General features: G+C 36.5%; 1 protein-coding gene and 1 long non-coding RNA gene across 18 annotated transcripts in view; one reads left to right on the forward strand and one right to left on the reverse strand.

Annotated features, from left to right (window-relative positions):
* Positions 1–18,054, forward strand: part of ADAMTSL1 (ADAMTS like 1) — a 1,004,318-nt gene that overhangs the window by 767,257 nt on the left and 219,007 nt on the right. For 10 of the 17 annotated variants that reach the window (XM_011518064.4, XM_011518063.3, XM_017015314.2 and 7 more), the window contains 4 exons: positions 1,968–2,018; positions 6,423–6,627; positions 7,923–8,070; positions 10,827–10,911. In XM_011518064.4, coding sequence (XP_011516366.1) covers positions 1,968–2,018; positions 6,423–6,627; positions 7,923–8,070; positions 10,827–10,911 — 489 coding nt within the window. Of the gene's footprint in view, positions 1–1,941; positions 2,019–6,422; positions 6,628–7,922; positions 8,071–10,826; positions 11,069–18,054 lie in introns of those variants that run through there. The other 7 variants (XM_017015312.3, XM_017015311.2, XM_047424077.1 and 4 more) reach the window with 3 other exon arrangements.
* The window catches only part of LOC102724102 (uncharacterized), a 37,432-nt gene that overhangs the window by 16,935 nt on the left and 2,443 nt on the right, over positions 1–18,054 (reverse strand). The gene's annotated exons all lie outside the window — the stretch shown is intronic.

The following is an 18,054-nucleotide window of genomic DNA, read 5'->3' on the forward strand; positions in this document are numbered from 1 at the left end:
GTGGAAGAGGATTGGCATTCTTTAAAATATAGTCCTTTTAGAAAAAAAAATTCCCTTTATTACTAGATGTAAGAATGATTCTTACTAGATGTTAGAATGATTGTAACATGAGGAACGATTGAGCTTTCACCTGATTTCTTATCATCTGTCAGAAGGTAGAAAAAAATGGGATGGTTCACTCAAAAAAACAGAAAAGGTTAAAGGCTGTTCATTTCATTCTTGTGTGAAGAACTGTGGGATTTTGAGCATGCCCAAAAGGCAGCATCCCTTTTCTTATACATTGTTACTGAAGGTTAATACACACACAGGCACACACACACACACACACACACAAACACACACATCATGAAAATTTTCTCACACAAATGAATATAAAAAACTTATTTACACAAATAAATACAGAAAATTTAGTCATGTAAAATAAATAAGTTAGTACTCCAATGACCTTCCCTCCTGGAAATAGATATCCATCTTAAATGCTTTGTTTCCTATTTTTTAAATAACAAAATTTGACTTCTCTCATGTATCCCCTAACCTTTCAGTAATTTCTTCAGAAACTATGCAGGCCCCTTTATCCCTCTCTCTCTCCTTCTTACCTTTCATCATCTCCAGCCAGTGCTATTTTTATCTCTGTGATCCACACTCACGGCTCACTGTTTCTACCCAAACACCTGGGTTTGCTAGCCATATTTTATAAACCTACTATATCATCTTATATCAGAGGAATGGGTAAAAATGGAAGTATTTATTTATTAAAATATAAAGATCAACATATTTATATTGAATATATCAATATTATATAGATATATAAATAGATGCATCCATCTATCCCAGAGGCACAGATAGAATACATGAGTTCCTTCAATACCCCAAAGAGGGGCTTTCTATCATTTATCAGTTGCAAAATAAGCATCTTCCACTTATGCACTACCATGCTCTACATCTGTGCATCTCCATCTCCCACTCTTGATGAAGGTGCTGTTGCACTAGCGGTCTTATCCAAAACCCATGAATCATTAGTCCTCCACAAACCAGAAAACAAGGCCTCTGCAGGGACCCACCAGTCTTACCAATTGGAGACTTTAGTTGAAATCAGTGAAGTAGGTCAGAGTAGTTTATTGGCATCCTAAAGGCCTCCAGGAACCTCCACACAGCCTATGATATATCTTGTGGATCCTGAGCATTCACTCTGTCTCTAAACCTCACAGGTTTCCCAGGGTCCTAGAGGTACTAACAAGCCATGACAATCACAACCATCACTGCAATAGCAGTTAACACTGTACAATATTTTATAGACCACAAAAACCCACTTTTCATAATATCTCATTTTAACTGCCTACCTTTATTTTGGTAGGAAATTTGCCTTTGCTAATAGTTGCCTACTATGTTCAGTAGTTTCCCCCTCCCCTTATAAAATACCCAAGTGGCTACTTTCCAAGTATTAGTGAAATCCCTAGATCTGCCAAGAGAAGAAACCTAGCTAATGCAGTTACATAGTATTGTCAATTCTGAAGTACATATTCTCCAGCTTGAATAGCTCTCTCTTTCATCAGAAGTGAGACAGTTACTGTAATTGCTTGGCGAGCATCTGGAAGTAACATGAATAATGATGATAATAATAATGACCTCATAGGATGTATAATTTGGGGATTAAAGAACATTTACAATCTTATGGTGTCATAGTTAATGATGAAGTGCCAAGTTTTGTTGCCACCACCCTTTGCAATGGTATTTCCTGCTTGGATCAGAGAACTAATTATAGTAAATGGTGCCCTTTCAAAGAACTTGCCCCATCCTAAAGCATATCCTGGCATAAAGATATAAAACTGTTTTAGTGTTGTTTTATAGATACAATTTATTAATGTTATTTTGCATTTGTATTAAAAATTTGTATAATGTAATCATTTAGTGTTTATTTTATTGTGTGTACCTTCTACTCAGAGGGTTGGCATTATTGTTCCTAACAGTGACGGATACAAGCAGATCATGCCTTATGACCTCTACCATCCCCTTCCTCGGTACGTAAATCAATCATCCTGATGTTAGAATTAGCAAATTAGTCTTCTGCTGCTTATCTATATATATAGAGATATACATATACATAGAGAGAGAGATTATATGTTTTTAAGATGGTAGATGGTATATTTTGCAATCCATCCTGAGTTCTGCTTTTGAATAATACTAGCCTGCTCAGACTGTAAGCTTATCATTCAAAAACCACTTTAAGGTAGAATCATGTTACACTGGAGTGAAAACAGTAATTCACTCTGATTAGATACAGTTTATGGGTTTATATTATGTCTTTCTTTCCCTCCCTTTGTTCTTTCCTATTTTTCCTCTCAATAGGACCCTAGTCATTAAAGCACTGTTGCTAACTATTAAACAAACAAACACTGCCTAAAGTATTATTGCACTACCACTAACATGGAATTCCAGATGTGATATTATTCTGCATAGGGGCTTTAAATGTCCACTTTTTATTTCAGATAAATTATAATTAAGTATAAAAGGCAATTTTTTAATATTCTTATTGTTCAAAACATTTTAGGAGACATTTTTTCTAAACAAAATTCAATGTGCTGCATTGCTTTTTTAAAGTACAGTACTTTTGAAAACTAGAAAAAAGGTAATGAAAGTAACTCAGGAACTTTTAAAAGAAAGTGTTCCCTTTATAATATATTCATAAGAAAACCGGAGAAGCTGAAAAATACTCTAGCTACTGAGTGTGTTCACTGCATTGGAAACAGCTCCACAGAGAGCAGAAATTAGAATTGGGATTGAAGTAGACCTATGCTCTATTTTCTTTGCTTATTTGGCCCTCAGGGAGTCAGCTGCTATTTAGAACCAAGGGTTTATATCAGATCATAAATGGTTGGAGTAATCCACAGCAGCCTGCTCCATCTCAAATTACACCAAGCCCAGAAAATAATTTTATTTTGAACTGTAAGGGTTTGATGGAAAAATCTCCAAATACATAATGAATTAGAATCCAAATAGAGGTCCCTTGACGTCATCTAGTGCAACTCCCCATTGATGCTTCATTCTCCCATTTCTTCCCGAACAATCACAACCATATACCACAGATATGTTAAATATATATTTACGCAAATATGCATTCATATATTCAATGCATATGTATTCACACATGTATATACACATCTATCGATGTTTATATAATACATATATACAAGTGAAAGTTGTCATCCAGCATCTACTTAAATATGTCTAGTGACTGGCAGGGAACTCATTTTTCACCTAATGATCACATATAGGAAAGGAATTTGACTTATACTAGATATACTTCTTGTTTTTCTTGTTATTTTTAACTCTTTCACTACGTGGCTATGTCATTAGTCAGCTCACTCCTACTTTCCTATGACTATATTGATAAAGACAATAAATAGCTTTAGAATGTTCCTAATGTATCATTTTTCTGGTTTTATCCAGAACTCTTGACCTTGAAAAAATAATGAAATAGCAAAAAATTAATTTTTTGAAGTAATGAAAATAGCAAATGATTAATTTAACTGAACTAAGATTTCATTTGGTTTCAATTTCTGTATCTGTGAAATAAATGTTCATAGGATATATGTATCTGTTTGTATGAAAGCCATACATTTCATTATTTCAAGATAAAGGTAAAGTTGGACCTCAGGAGTAAGCAACGTCAAGTTTATGTTTTTCCTGTAAAGGCAACTCCTAGATTTCTGTTTTATCTGTGATCTCTCTTGTTTATATTTCTCTGGCATAACTAATGCCTATATTAGGTTAAAATTGATTTCTTATAGGTTGGGATTTTTCTCCAAATGCCTAAATCCCAATGGTATATTAAAACGATCCTCCTGGGTGTGTGTTTGTACTATGTCCTTGTATACACTCTTGGCATGTCTATGTATCACAATGGGAAAGAACAATAAATTTTATTTCTTACCCCCTTGTATGTCTGATACTGAACTAGTTATAAAGATAGATATTCAGCTTTATTGGCAAAGTCTTAGTAAATGGAAACTATTTTTACAACTGTGTTTTCATTCGTAAGAAGAATTAAGGCTCAAAAATGGTTCTCAAATGGCAGCTACCCACTGATCAAGGCCATTTAAATTATTTAAATGGGGTTAAGAACACAGGTATAGATACAAAACACAATTAACATATTTTTACCTTGTTCTTTCCTGCTTTCAGTCCTTGACTGTAACACATATCTGGACATAATATGAGAATGTAGTCTGAATAATTGTCTTGATTTATAATTAATCTATGCCACTCTTGTGCATCCTGCTTAATTTGAGAATTTCTTAAACACACTCTGTGTTTAAAAAAATTAAAAGCCAAAAGAGGCTAAATGTATGATGTATAAATTCATTCAATGTTCTCCAGGATAAGATTCTTGGATATGTCTTTTTTTTATTCCAAGCACTTACCTGGTTACCATCTTCAGATCTCCTGACATGCTCTCTCTCAGCTTTTGTTACGCTTTCTTTAAAGTACACAAACATGTTTTACTTCAAGATTCCACATAACCCTATTATTATACAAGTATTCACATGATAATTTTCTACGCATAGAACTGTAGTTGTATGCTGGGACCATAGTATAAATTTTTGAAATAATATTGCCTCATTTGTCTTTCTATGATCACTGACATTGAAAAAGATACTTACTGCTATTTGTGAAATTACACTATGGTCAGGTCCAAGTGCTGAGACAGAAATAAATCACTCTCCCTTTAGTAGGGTCAAGCTTAAGAATTTTAGAGTACCAATTAGAAAATGTGCTCTTTTATAGCATCTTAATATTCTAAGTGATTAAATGTACATTTAAAAACATATTCCTACTTCACTGTCAGATCAAATCTAATGTGAATACATACTTATGTATTCAACCCAACTTTAATCTGAATCAGGCCTGATATTCATCTCCAGAAGGAAGCCCTCCAGAGATTTATGTGGAGACAAAGGAGAATTGGTCTTACCCATTGGGAAGAGAAACTCTCTACAGAGCTACTTCATTCTCTTGAAAGAGATCAGAAAGTCTCCCAAGGGCCAAACAGAGGGCCTCAGTTTCCCCACAATGACATTTTCTTATGTGTCTCCTGGGGAAATACACATAGGAAAATATTGTATTTGGCAGCATGTCTTGGCTTTTGGCAGGCAGATAACAGTTGTTGCCTAAACTTGAACAGTGCAGAGAAAATGTGAAGGAAAACCCTTTGTAACTAGGAAAAACACATGATTCAGGCTCATGCAGAAGAGAAATCAAACTCACAATGTACACAAAAAACCCGCCTACAGAATAATTAATGTCTCAATGGTGTGCCTGTGCAACATTTTAAAATTTTAACTATTCAAATGGATCAACCCAGTGACATTTTGTTTCTCTCATTAAAATTATATCTCTCATAATTCTAAGAGAAATCTTAAATCTCCTTAGCAATCCTCATCAATAAGCAGAATATATGTAAAAAAGACCAGCTCAACTCAGTCCCAATGTTTCTGTTTTTAGAAATTCTACATTCTGTAAATCTACAGGAGGAGAGAAGAGAATTTGGCAAAGATATCTCTCTGCATCTGGGACCTAATGCTTCAGAGCTGTGTAAAGCTCTGAAAAAAAAAATCAATGGAAGTCTCTTAAATGTTTTGACAATATTGTTATTTTCTACCTTACTTAACTATATGTCTACTTTCAGATGCCATTAGCCTTCCAACTCAAACCAAACCTCTTCACAGTTCCAAGAGTTACTTACTGGAGGAACTCTAACTACCAGTATCCCTCAACAGTTAGGGAATATGTAGATAATATTAACGCTTCTGCTCCTCAGCTTAATAATGATAGCACAGTTTGAACATCAGAATTGTGCTGAATCTAAGTAGTCCCAAAGCTGATGATTGCAGAAGCAAAGGAGAGTCTTTTGTTTACCTTGATCTTTTATGAGCTTCTTCTATTAAAAAAAATACCTAGAAGTTAAGTAATAAAGCATTACATTGAAAATAAAAAGTATCTGCAGGTGCAAACCATTAGTGTTAACTGAGTATACCACTTTAGTCTTGAGATGGATACTTAATGAGTTTAATGAAAATAAATTTTATATATACATATCCTGAAACTATGGGAGAAGGACAGAACTACATCCTACATCTTCTGAGTAGGTTACAGACGGCACACATATCTTTGTGGACAGCTCTCAAAACTGTAATGGCTTACATTTGTATAGAGCTTCACGGTTTGCAGAGCCCTTTTGCCAATGTTGAATCCTTCTCTCTTACTCATCAGGTTTCAGGCAATAGATGGCTTTTGGTTTTCTGGACCTTAGCCTCTCAGAACCTGATTATACCAATAGACATGGGGAGTGGGTTGGTGGACCAGTCACTGAGGAGGCTTAGCAATGTGCATGTCTGCCCTGATGACTCCCCTTGCTTCTGTAGGTGGGAGGCCACCCCATGGACCGCGTGCTCCTCCTCGTGTGGGGGGGGCATCCAGAGCCGGGCAGTTTCCTGTGTGGAGGAGGACATCCAGGGGCATGTCACTTCAGTGGAAGAGTGGAAATGCATGTACACCCCTAAGATGCCCATCGCGCAGCCCTGCAACATTTTTGACTGCCCTAAATGGCTGGCACAGGAGTGGTCTCCGGTAACTGTGCCTTCTTTCTTTGTTCATTAGGAGAGTAAGTCCACTCTTCCCTCTCATCATCATGGCCCCACCGGGTACCCTGAGCAGCTCCACACTCTTCTTGAGGTGTCTAGAAGCCTACCAGCTTAGCTCCTGGAGTAGGAATGCCCCAAATCCAGCATGACCAAAAGTAAATGATGTTTTTTTAAAGTGTCTTTCTTCAAGTTTCTTCAAGAAGCCTCTATTGTTCCCCAGATAATGTTCCCTCAAATAGCACGGGGAAGCAACTGCCTTTCAAGGGTAATTGAGGCTGAATGAATGATCCCGAATCTGTAAAAGCTGCTTTGATGATAGAGCTCAGTAGACCAGAAGTTTGATTTCATTTTGTATGTATTATGCTTTGTATCCGAAAGGGTCTAAGTGGATTAATATTAAAACTATGTATATTAATCATTGGAGAAGGGGGAAGAGGAAATGAAAATAGCACAAAAATTAAAATTGGAACGAAGTAAGATAATTAAAACAAAAAACTTATAGATGTTAGGAAACCTGCTGTAATTAAACATAAAATGTCATTCAGGGTTTCCTGACTGCTAATGCAGAAAGGAAAATCGTAAAGGAAACAGAAAGATGAAATAAGCCATTGTGCCCTCCGCCTCAGAAATGACAAAAGACTCTTCACTGAGCCCTGTGGCTTCATGGCAGCAGATCAGAGCTGTGACATTTTCTACATCTAGACATGCTACCAGACATGGGGAACCATTAGAGGTGCAATCTACATTGGGCATCTGGTCATTCAATCTGTTTTTTTAAATGTTATTTTTGCCTTTCAATGTAATCAATTGGATTAACAATGCTGCAATATAATTTAGCTATAATCGTAGTTTAAATTTTTTGATATCCATGTAGGGGTATTTCCCATATTTTTGGAAGTAGCGGTCATTAGCAAAGTAACTAAATAAAATACAGTGCTGGTAGTCAAAATTAAGCACACTCTACAGTCTCTTTTCTCCTTTCTTCTTTTTGGTGCTTGGTTTGAGACTTTGCACACAGTGGGTACTTAAAGATTGCTGACTGATTAATCCAAAGCTATGGAATTGAAAGTGATTTAATTTTCAGCGAGCTTCACCTCAAATAGCCAAATAGAACAAAGATCCCTTGACTGGTAAGAAGTGGTATAAATTTACCAGGAGTCCTCGTGTGGGGGGGGGGGGCGGGGAAAAAGAAAACTTAGATTAAAAGTTTTCGATGGGAAGTGAAGAAAAGTAAACAAGGCTTTGCCTACGAGTCTCCTCTCTCTTGCAATCTCTTTCCAGTGCACAGTGACATGTGGCCAGGGCCTCAGATACCGTGTGGTCCTCTGCATCGACCATCGAGGAATGCACACAGGAGGCTGTAGCCCAAAAACAAAGCCCCACATAAAAGAGGAATGCATCGTACCCACTCCCTGCTATAAACCCAAAGGTAACTTGACAGGTGCTCTATTACCAGCCTGTTAATTGTTGTGTGTAGTCAGGTGTGTTTTAAACTCCTTGGAATATTTTTAAGTATCCCAAGTATTCTTAGTAAGAATTCTTTATAACTTAAACTCTACTAAAGGAATTTGATTATCTTAAAGAATCTTTCAAGTGATTTTGATTGCAAAATTTCATTAACCACTACATGTAGAAATATATTTATATAATTATCTCCCAAGTCATAAAGTTGTTTGAGGACTATTGCTGAAGAATACGGATGTACCTGCTTAAAGGGAGACCAGATATTCTAGAAATATATGTTTGATTTACTATCCACATTTCTTGCCTTTAAAAACAAGGGAGTGAATCCAAGTATGTCTATTTTGCTAAGGCTGAAGTACATTGGGAAGTCTCATACTTCAAACTGATGAAACAGAAAACTGTCACTTTTTATATTGAAAATTAAAACATTAATATGAGACTGAATTCCAGAACCATAATTTAAAATATATCAGAATTTAAAAGATATTGCAATAATTTATAAAAAAGAAATTTTAGGAAAGTGTAGAACTAAGCATTTAGTGAGCCAGACTTATAATTACACTGGATATCTCAGATTAGCAAGAATATGAATTTGATTTCTGTACAAGTATTGTTACTTGTCTGTGTCAATGGAAAAGAAAAATTCAAAGTCACAAACCATTCAGAAGTAAAGAACTCTTTAAACCCCCTTTAATTTTTAATATTAAATATGGCTCCCATTTCTTTATTTTTTAAGCCATTAAATTTCTCTGAAAAATCAGTCACAGTGTAGCTCTTTATTATACTATAGGTGGCCCTAATTGCAACTGAATGGCATCATAAAATCTAAATTAATGATATAAAAGGAAACAAAAAAAAACAGAAATCCTGATTAACTTTAATAAATGCATCTCTCTCGAAGCCTTGGTTTCCTCCTCTGTAAAATGGGTGTAATAATAGTATCTAAATCAGAGATCATGCGTAGGTTAAATGAGATATAACATAAACAGGGTGGTTAACCTAGTGCCTGCAATATAGTAACTTCTACATACAGTAAGTTACTTTTAACTCCTGACTATCGTCAGTGCCCTCAACTATGGGAGGAGGTTGCCACAGGTGCGTCTGACAGGATTTAGTTCAAAACAGCAATAAAGTATTACAAGCTTACTATGAGTGCCAAACTGAATGCTTCCTTATTGAAAGACAGAGAGCTAACTATGCCACCAGAGACAGCTTCATTTACTGAGGTTTTTTTTGTTTTTTTTTTTTGAGACGGAGTCTCACTCTGTTGCCCAGGCTGGAGTTCAGTGGCGTGATCTCGGCTCACTGCAACCTCTGCCTCCCAGGCTGAGGCGATTCTCCTACTTCAGCCTCCGGAGTAACTGGGATTACAGGCGCATGCTGCCGTGCCCAGCTAATTTTTTGTATTTTTTTTTTTTGGTAGAGACGGGGTTTCACCTTGTTGCCCAGGCTGGTCTCGAACTCCTGAGCTCAGGTAATCGCCTCGGCCTCCCAAAGTGCTAGGATTACAGGCGTGAGCCTCCACGCCCAGCCGACTGAGTCATTTACTGGGATAGTTGGAGTAGTTGTAAAATGATGTATGTATAGGTACGGTGTTGCTGTGTTTAAAATGTTAGCAAATCATTTTGGCTTTGGCAGTTTTATATTTCTCACTTGCTTTGTTTTTTGACTATAAATAATTGCTGTGCATAGAGAACAAGAAGTGATGCCCCTAACTTAAAATAGTCAATTGTTTATTAGCTTTATCTTTACCAAGCCACTTCAGAGAAAGAAAAGCAGTTTGCAGTTAACTATCAAGAATCAAGTCTGGATTTTCACAACCAAGGAGTGAGCCTGGCTCTCTAAACATCATTAAAATACCATATAATTCTATGGTGCATATATGTATAGACATATTTCTTTCATCTTTGCAATTGTATGTTATAAAATGGTGATAGAGCATCATTGGCTCATACTATAAAGGCAAATATCCCCATAAATGACCCTAATAAATATGCTAGAATGGGAATCTTGGCAGTTACTTCTGTAAGAGCCGTTAGAACATCCCTCTTCATTTTTCTCCTCCACAATTTTTTTCCCAGGAAGTAACTAGGAAGTTTGTTTTGAATTGTTTGGCCAAAGCTAGATAAATAGGTGAAATAAGTCAAATTATGTGTTATGAACCCTCATTTGCACATATTCCAATTGTCAGTGAGCCTTGGGGTAGTACTGAATGAGTCAGATATCTAAATCAATGTTTTGTGAATTTCAGAGTGAAAGAGTTTGTTTTTGGCAATGTGACATAGATCACACTTAGCTAAAAGGCAAAAAAAAAAAAGTTAGAATTTATGAAAATATCACAATATAATTGACTGTACTTTGTTTTCCAAGGTAAATGCTGCTCTATCTTTTCAAGAGGGAATGGTAAAAAGATACTTCGATGATTCTTTATATGCATATTGAGCTAGTGCTCCTACACTTACAACTTTCATAATAAAATGACTTTCCTTTGCTATTCATCATAATAAAGAGAAAGCTTGCACACAAACTAGTATTATTAAACATTTTAAAATTCGACTTTATTTTTCTAGATATAACCATCATCAGAGGCAGCAATTTACCCAAAAACTTATTCGTGTTGGTCAACGTAGTAACTTCTTGGTGAGGAGAATAAGGAATTTTCCTAAAATCCCAGATTGGTTCTAACCTCTTCTTTTGTATGTGCATGCACTGAATTCTCAGAGAAACTTCCAGTCGAGGCCAAGTTGCCATGGTTCAAACAAGCTCAAGAGCTAGAAGAAGGAGCTGCTGTGTCAGAGGAGCCCTCGTAAGTTGTAAAAGCACAGACTGTTCTATATTTGAAACTGTTTTGTTTAAAGAAAGCAGTGTCTCACTGGTTGTAGCTTTCATGGGTTCTGAACTAAGTGTAATCATCTCACCAAAGCTTTTTGGCTCTCAAATTAAAGATTGATTAGTTTCAAAAAGTGTTTGTCAAAGCTGATGATTGCATTGTAAATACTTCTGTTTTGCCTAAAGTAAGAAAATGAAGGTGTAGTGCTTACCCTCTTCTCCAAAATCTGACCTCCTCTCTTCTCTGCGCAAGGGGCCAAAGGTGAGAAGGCCCAGGCTGCAGCTGATGATATAACATAGATTTGATGCCAAAGTCTGAGCTGCTTTTCACACTCTCCCAGTTTTGCAATACAGTCACAAAAATTAAAGAGCAAGTAAAGTATACCTGAGGGCAAAGGAAGTTCATTAACTTTTCTTTTCCCTTTCTTCCTGGGATTGGTATCAGGGATGGACCTGCTTATTTGCCCCACTTGATTATGTCCCATGTCTACTCAATTTTATCAAGTCCATGGAATCTGTAAAACCGTGAGGCCCAGATTTGCCAGTGTCTTCAGAAGAGGAAACAAATAGGAGAGACAAAAGTAGATTAAGTGGATGATTGATAAGTTTATGTATTGATTTCATTAGAAAACACTGATAGGCATAGCTGCTACATCACTTTTACAAACGAGGGGATACAATTGATTGAAAAATTTCATCTATGACCCAAGAAATTTCTCAGGTTGAAAAATTTTCTAAATTAATTCATTTAATGTAAGTTCTAAGCTCTGTGCTATTCACTGGCACTTAAGATAACTCATCCACCCTCCAAGAGTTAATAGTGGAGCATGTAGGATATAAAATGATTTCCAAATTTTACTGGAGATATAAATTAACGTTGCAACCTATTTAAATGCAATTTAGAATTTTCTCAGATTCATTCTGTTTGAATCTAAATCTGATGTGGTTTGCCAGAACACAACTGTGTTCCTGAGTGCACAAGAAATCCAAAATATAGATTTGTACCATAACCAAAGGTCACTTGTAAAGAAACTATATTCTGTCATTTGATTTCACATACACCAAAAGGATGCACACATTAGAAAACACTTTTTTTCCCTATTTTTTTTTTTTGAGATAGGGTCTCACTCTGTCACCCGGGCATGGATGTAGTGGCACGGTCATAACTCACTGCAGCTTTCACCTGCCAGGCTCAATGAATTCTCTCACCTCAGCCTACCGAGTAGCTGGGACTACAGGTGCAGGCCACCACACCAGGCTATGTTTTTAATTTTTTTTGCAGAGACTGGGGTTCTCCATGTTTCCCAGGCTGGTCTCAAACTCCTGACCTCAAGCAATCCGCCTGCCTCAGCCTCCCAAAGTACTGGGATTGCAGGCGTGAGCCACAGCGCCTGGCCCGGGAAAACACATATTTTTACTTAGAAGGATAATTAAGCAAACATAAATTATTTCTGTACTGTAAAGTTACTACAGCAAACTTTTTGACTTCTTTGAGAAAAAGCAACTAACCACTGCAGAACTTTGGAGGAAAGGGAGTGATTAAAGATCACAGTGTAACCTTGGAATGAAAATATAAAGGCTTACAATTTTTTGCTTCTCCTCTGCCAGTACCTGATTTGACAGGCCTTTTTGTTGCTGAGGAGTAAATAAGCAGTTCTTTTTAGGGGGGCATTAATAACTTCTTAATCCAGTAAGGTCCTATTTAAGACACAGAAAGATGCTATGTAATTAGAGCTGGTGACTCCTTTTATATCCTATTGGGTTAAATCTATTTGAAACCAGTTATGTTTTATTTTACCTAAATAAACTCTTTTCCCCTTGTACACTGTATTTTGTCACTTGGACTAAAGCGTAATCCTATGTATAATCTTGCGTTCTGGCTGATGGTAAATAATAATACAAAATTGAAAGTAAATGGAAACATCTTACATCGATAAGCATCTTCCCATTATTAGATGCCTTTCAGATGAAAGCTATCAGTGGAGTTTAATGCATCCACAGAAGCATTACATAGACCATCGTCAACCATATTTTGTCATGAATATTTTCTACTAAAGATCCGATTAAGATGCATTACGTTTAACTTTAATCTTAATAAAATCTTTAAAGTAGTTAAAAAAGTTTTAGCCATTGAAAGTATAGCCATATATTAAACTATTAAAATTTACTCTTAGTGTAATGAAATTGCCATCTTGGCATGATTAATCTGAATTGGAGTAGATTGTAATTGGAGTGCTGGTGCAGGGTAAGGGAAATGTATACTATTGTGCTCAGAATAATAATTACTTTTATACCAAAATAAAATAAATGACAGCTGTAGAATAATGTAATGAAAGGTATATGGTTTCTACATTTTAATACACTTTATGTGTTTAGTGCACTGCACCCTAAGAAACGTCCTAAGTGTCACTTTTTTTTATCTATATTGATTTTGAATTTAAAAAACATAATGTTGCATGGCCTTAATTCCATCTTTTCTTAAACCACATAGACCGTTTCTAAATGTATGTAACAACCTATAATTACTCTCTGAAGCATATTGAAAAAATGATCAACTGTCAGCAAGTCATTCCTTCCCCCCACCAAGGAGACTCACACTGCTTAAATTAAATGGTAATGTTTAGAAGCTGTGGCTGTCACTTCTGAACTGCTACAGTGAGGCAAGAACAGTGGTCCACAACTATTATCTCTTGCTTTGGCTCCAGCTAACATTGGAGAGTTCTGTGGTAAAGCAGTAAATATCATTTATTTCCGTATATGGAAAGTGAAAATATTATCACCAGCCTATCTCATTATGTAATACAGAAAAATCACCAGATGAATGTCTTCAGCTTATGAAGATAACCTTGTTCGATGTTAGATACTTTTAGTAAACCCAAAATGTAAGGACAAGATTGGTTAGCACTCAGGCCAAACATATGTTGGGAAGTAACCGCTTTAAGATGTTTAGAAGAAAACAATGATAAAAGACTAAAAACTGAATTGCCAAGAAATAAATAACACGTTATAGACCAGAAGAATGTACCAACAGCCAACATTGTGGTTGCAGTAAACACCATGCACAAGATATAAATCCAGATATCAATTTCATAGAACCACTGAAATAAATATGGAGATTGGCTCACATGGTGGTAATATGTAGATAGATTCATTATATAAAGCTGAATCTTCAACTCAAAAATACTTCTACATGTTGATTTTTTTTCCCTCAACAACAGATTGGTTTGTTATGACACATCTGATTCATGTGGTAGAAAGGTAGGAATATTGTGATGAATACATATATGTATGTATGTATATATATATATATATATATAGAAACGTAGTCTCACTCTTGTCGCCCAGGCTGGAATGCAATGGCGTGATCTCGGCTCACTGCAATCTCTACCTCCTGGGTTCAAGCTATTCTCATGCCTCAGCCTCCCGCATAGCTGGGATTACAGGTGCCCACCACCATGCCCAGCTAATTTTTGTATTTTTAGTAAATAAGAGACAGGGTTTCACCATGTTGGCCAGGCTGTTTTGAACTCCTGACCTCAGGTGATCCACCCACCTCAGCCTCCCAAAGTGCTGGGATTACAGGCATGAGCCACCACACCCAGCCGAATATATTTTCTAGGTATGTACAACATGAGGAATTTAAGACCAGCCTGGGCAACATAGCAAGACCTCGTCTCTACTAAAACTCAGAAAACTTAGCCAGGCATGGTGGTGTGTGCCTATATTCGCAGCTACTCAGGAGTCTGCGGCTGGAGGGTTGCTTGAGCCTGGGAGGCGGAGGCTGCAGTGAGCTGAGATCTTGCCACCAAACTCCAGCCTGGGTAACAGAGCATTTCAAAAAAAAAAAAAAAAAAAAAAAAAAAAAAATATATATATATATATATATGACTGTGACTAAGAATGCCTAATCTCCTGGGAATGCAGCCCAGCCAGTCTCAGCCTCATTTTACCCAGTGCCTATTTGAGATGGAGTTGCCTGGTTCAAATGCCTCTGACTGTTGAGGTAGACTTCTACAATTACTAAGACTCTGGGAGAGTTCCATTTTTCCGAGGGTAATAGCAGTGCCGTGCTAGTACTAGAAAAGGGGGGATGGGAAAAATACTGATAAAATTATCTTCTGTTAAAGTTCAAACTATGTCATTTCGAATTTCCCTCCAGCTGTTGAGAGTGTTGTTAGATTTAGGATACATCATTTAAATGCCAGATTGAGCCCATCTGGTTGCTTTCATGGAAAAATATATAGGAATAGCTTTCTAGGTCTTTTTGGAAACTCTCAAAAGTGTACATTTATTTGGTGGGGAATTGGAACTACAAAGTGGTAGTACAATTATATTTGTTAATCAGGTGGAAGCTAAAAAAATTACTGACAGGTTTCCCATCTCTTATTTTTATACCGTAGTTTTAGTCTTGGTTGAGATGTATGCATAAACATCACTATCACCTGACATGTATCACCCACGCAAGTACATAGTGTGACCCTTCTGACAGCTTAATTTCTTGAGGAAAAATGATACAATGATGATCCCTAGGACATTTAAAGAAATGTTGTTGGATAGGAAGTCATTCAGCTTACCTTAAAAAGCCTGTTCTGACTTGGGACAGGAAGGAAATTGTTCATTTCCTTAACTCCTTCAGGCAACTAACAGGCCACCTAATGCCCTAGAAGGTGTAATTTGCTAAGGGACTCATATTTTTTAAAAAAAAGGAAAAAGAAAAAAGAAAAAAAGGTATAGTCTGGATGCTTTAGGTGCTCTTCCTGATCTCCAAAACAAGGCATCCCAGGTAGAGAAAGTGAGGACCAGTGCGGCACTTAGGGAAGCCAGGTTCTTCCAGATATATTTCAGTTGCCGTAGTTCTTCAATGGCTCAGAAGAAGCAATGGGATATGCCAGTTGCTTTGGACACAGTGTGGCCAAGATAGCAATTTTATCCAGATATTCCCTTGTTAAATAGCTGGCATTCGCCAGGTGGAAAGCCTTAATGATGCCATTTTTTCAAAGGTAGGATTGGGTAGTCCTTGTGCCTTGATCTTGCTTTTTAAAAGATCTTGAGTTATCTTATTAGATTTTCAGTCAACGGCTTTGCATGGTTAGGAGACTATGTTTGTGCTTCAACAAAATAGTCAGGGCTTAAATGTATTGCCATAAATAATCTTGTTGTGAGCCATTACAAAAAAGAAGACAAAGAGGAAGAAAAGTAAGTAAGCAGAAGGCAGCAGTAATATCTGGATGCCAGATGGCATCAGCTTAGCAATGGGGTTTATTCAATAAGAAGCAAAGGGAAATTCCTGTCATGCATCTGTGAACAGAACCCAGAAGGAATTAGATGCATATAGAAAAACCAATAAGAGTCACCATGGTGATTCTGTAGTCATTAAATGCCTTGTTTATCTTGTTGAAAATAGTACTTAAAGATATAATATTTAAGCATATGTTTTCATTAGTCCATATTTATACCCAATAAGTAGTCTAAGAATGTAGATGGCTTAACTCAGTGGTTAAGAATGTGAATTCATATTTTTTAAGTGGCTAGAAATTTTAATTGTGTGACATGTGTTTTTATATCCCTCCTCAAAATGTAGTGAACCAAACATCATTTATGGGTCCATATAGTGTTACTATTTATATTCTAAATATAAGGTACCTGAATTATATTCTCTTCATGAATCTCAGGCCACAGAAAAGTAACAATGAATATCTTGTTTATGTGTAGAAACAGGTGAGATGATTCATGATTCTTAAGAAATCTAAGATCAGGAAATTTAAATACTGTTTGCAGATCTTTCAATCAATAAAAAGAATGTTCAAGCAGCAAAGAGTTGAGCATTAGAATTATAAGATTAAAGAGCACTTAATTTTGAAAACTGGCATATGGTAGAGGTAAAGCCTCACACTGGCCAGACAGCATCAACCCTTCCCCTCCAATAGTCTTGACTTCTCTCACTTCCAACACCTTCCTTTCTGGCCTCTTCCCTATTCTCTGCAGCAGCAAAGTGCTTAATATAATTTCTTGGGCTAATTCCATATTCTAGATGACTTTAGAGAGCCACTAGACTTGCTAAATTGTTCACACCTCCTAATGATGGAAGCTAAACTTACCTATAAATCCCTTGCCCTATGCCATGCTATGTACCAGGTGCAGGTATTGCAAAAATAACCAGTCTTTGCCCTCAAGAAACTGTTAGTGCATTCTTATCACAAGAGCAATAGGATTGTGACCAAAGTGTTGAGTACTGGTTGTCTATCCACAGACTGAAGAAATGAGCTAGCTGTCTTTAAGAAATGCAATTTGATGTTTGGATATCATATCATGAGAGAGTTACTGATTTAAAAAGGAGTTCAGGAGACTTATTTATTGAATTCCCAAATTCTCTACTAGCATATATCAGAATTGCATCTACCTCTAAGATAAAATATCAGATAGTTAAGCTACTACATGGTAATGCATAAAGATAAGAACTAAGTGATAAAAGAATACAATGTATACATTGAAAGGGTTTGAGGGGAATGTTGATATGAACCGATGTTTGACAGATTATGATCAAACTGATTTGAGTCTGGCTTTGATTCCAGAACTAGTACTTGGGGAAAGAGATATGATCTTTTTACATAGCAAGTGATCAGATATTTTGTATCATTATGTGTACCTCAGTTATTCCTACCTATATGTTAAAAACAGGCTATAGAAACTACAGATAATTTCCTAAAATTGATTTTTTTCAGATGCATTAAGCTGCCAACTGGGTGAGTTGGTGAGGGGTGAGTCTCTGTATTTGTATGCCCTGACAAAGATACAATCCTGCTGGAATCAGAGTAAAAATCAAGTTAATTTTTGATCATACCTCCATGCAGGACAGCTCTGCACAGTGACTAAAAGTGTGGGCCCCAGGGACAGAGAGCTTGTGTTTCAATCTTGACCTTGGGAAAGTCATTTAACCCCATATGCCTCCATTTATCACCTGTGAAGTGAGGTAATCACTACCTCATAGGGTTCTTCTGAGGTTTAAGTTAATCTGTGTAAAGTACCTGGTATGCAGGAAGTGCTATGTATATAAATTTTTGTTGTGATTAGGCCTTTTCTAGCATCATTCATTTTCCTAGAGAATCTTTAAGGGAGTTAA

The sequence above is a fragment of the Homo sapiens genome, chromosome 9, assembly GCF_000001405.40.
Source record: "Homo sapiens chromosome 9, GRCh38.p14 Primary Assembly".
NCBI lineage: Eukaryota > Metazoa > Chordata > Mammalia > Primates > Hominidae > Homo > Homo sapiens.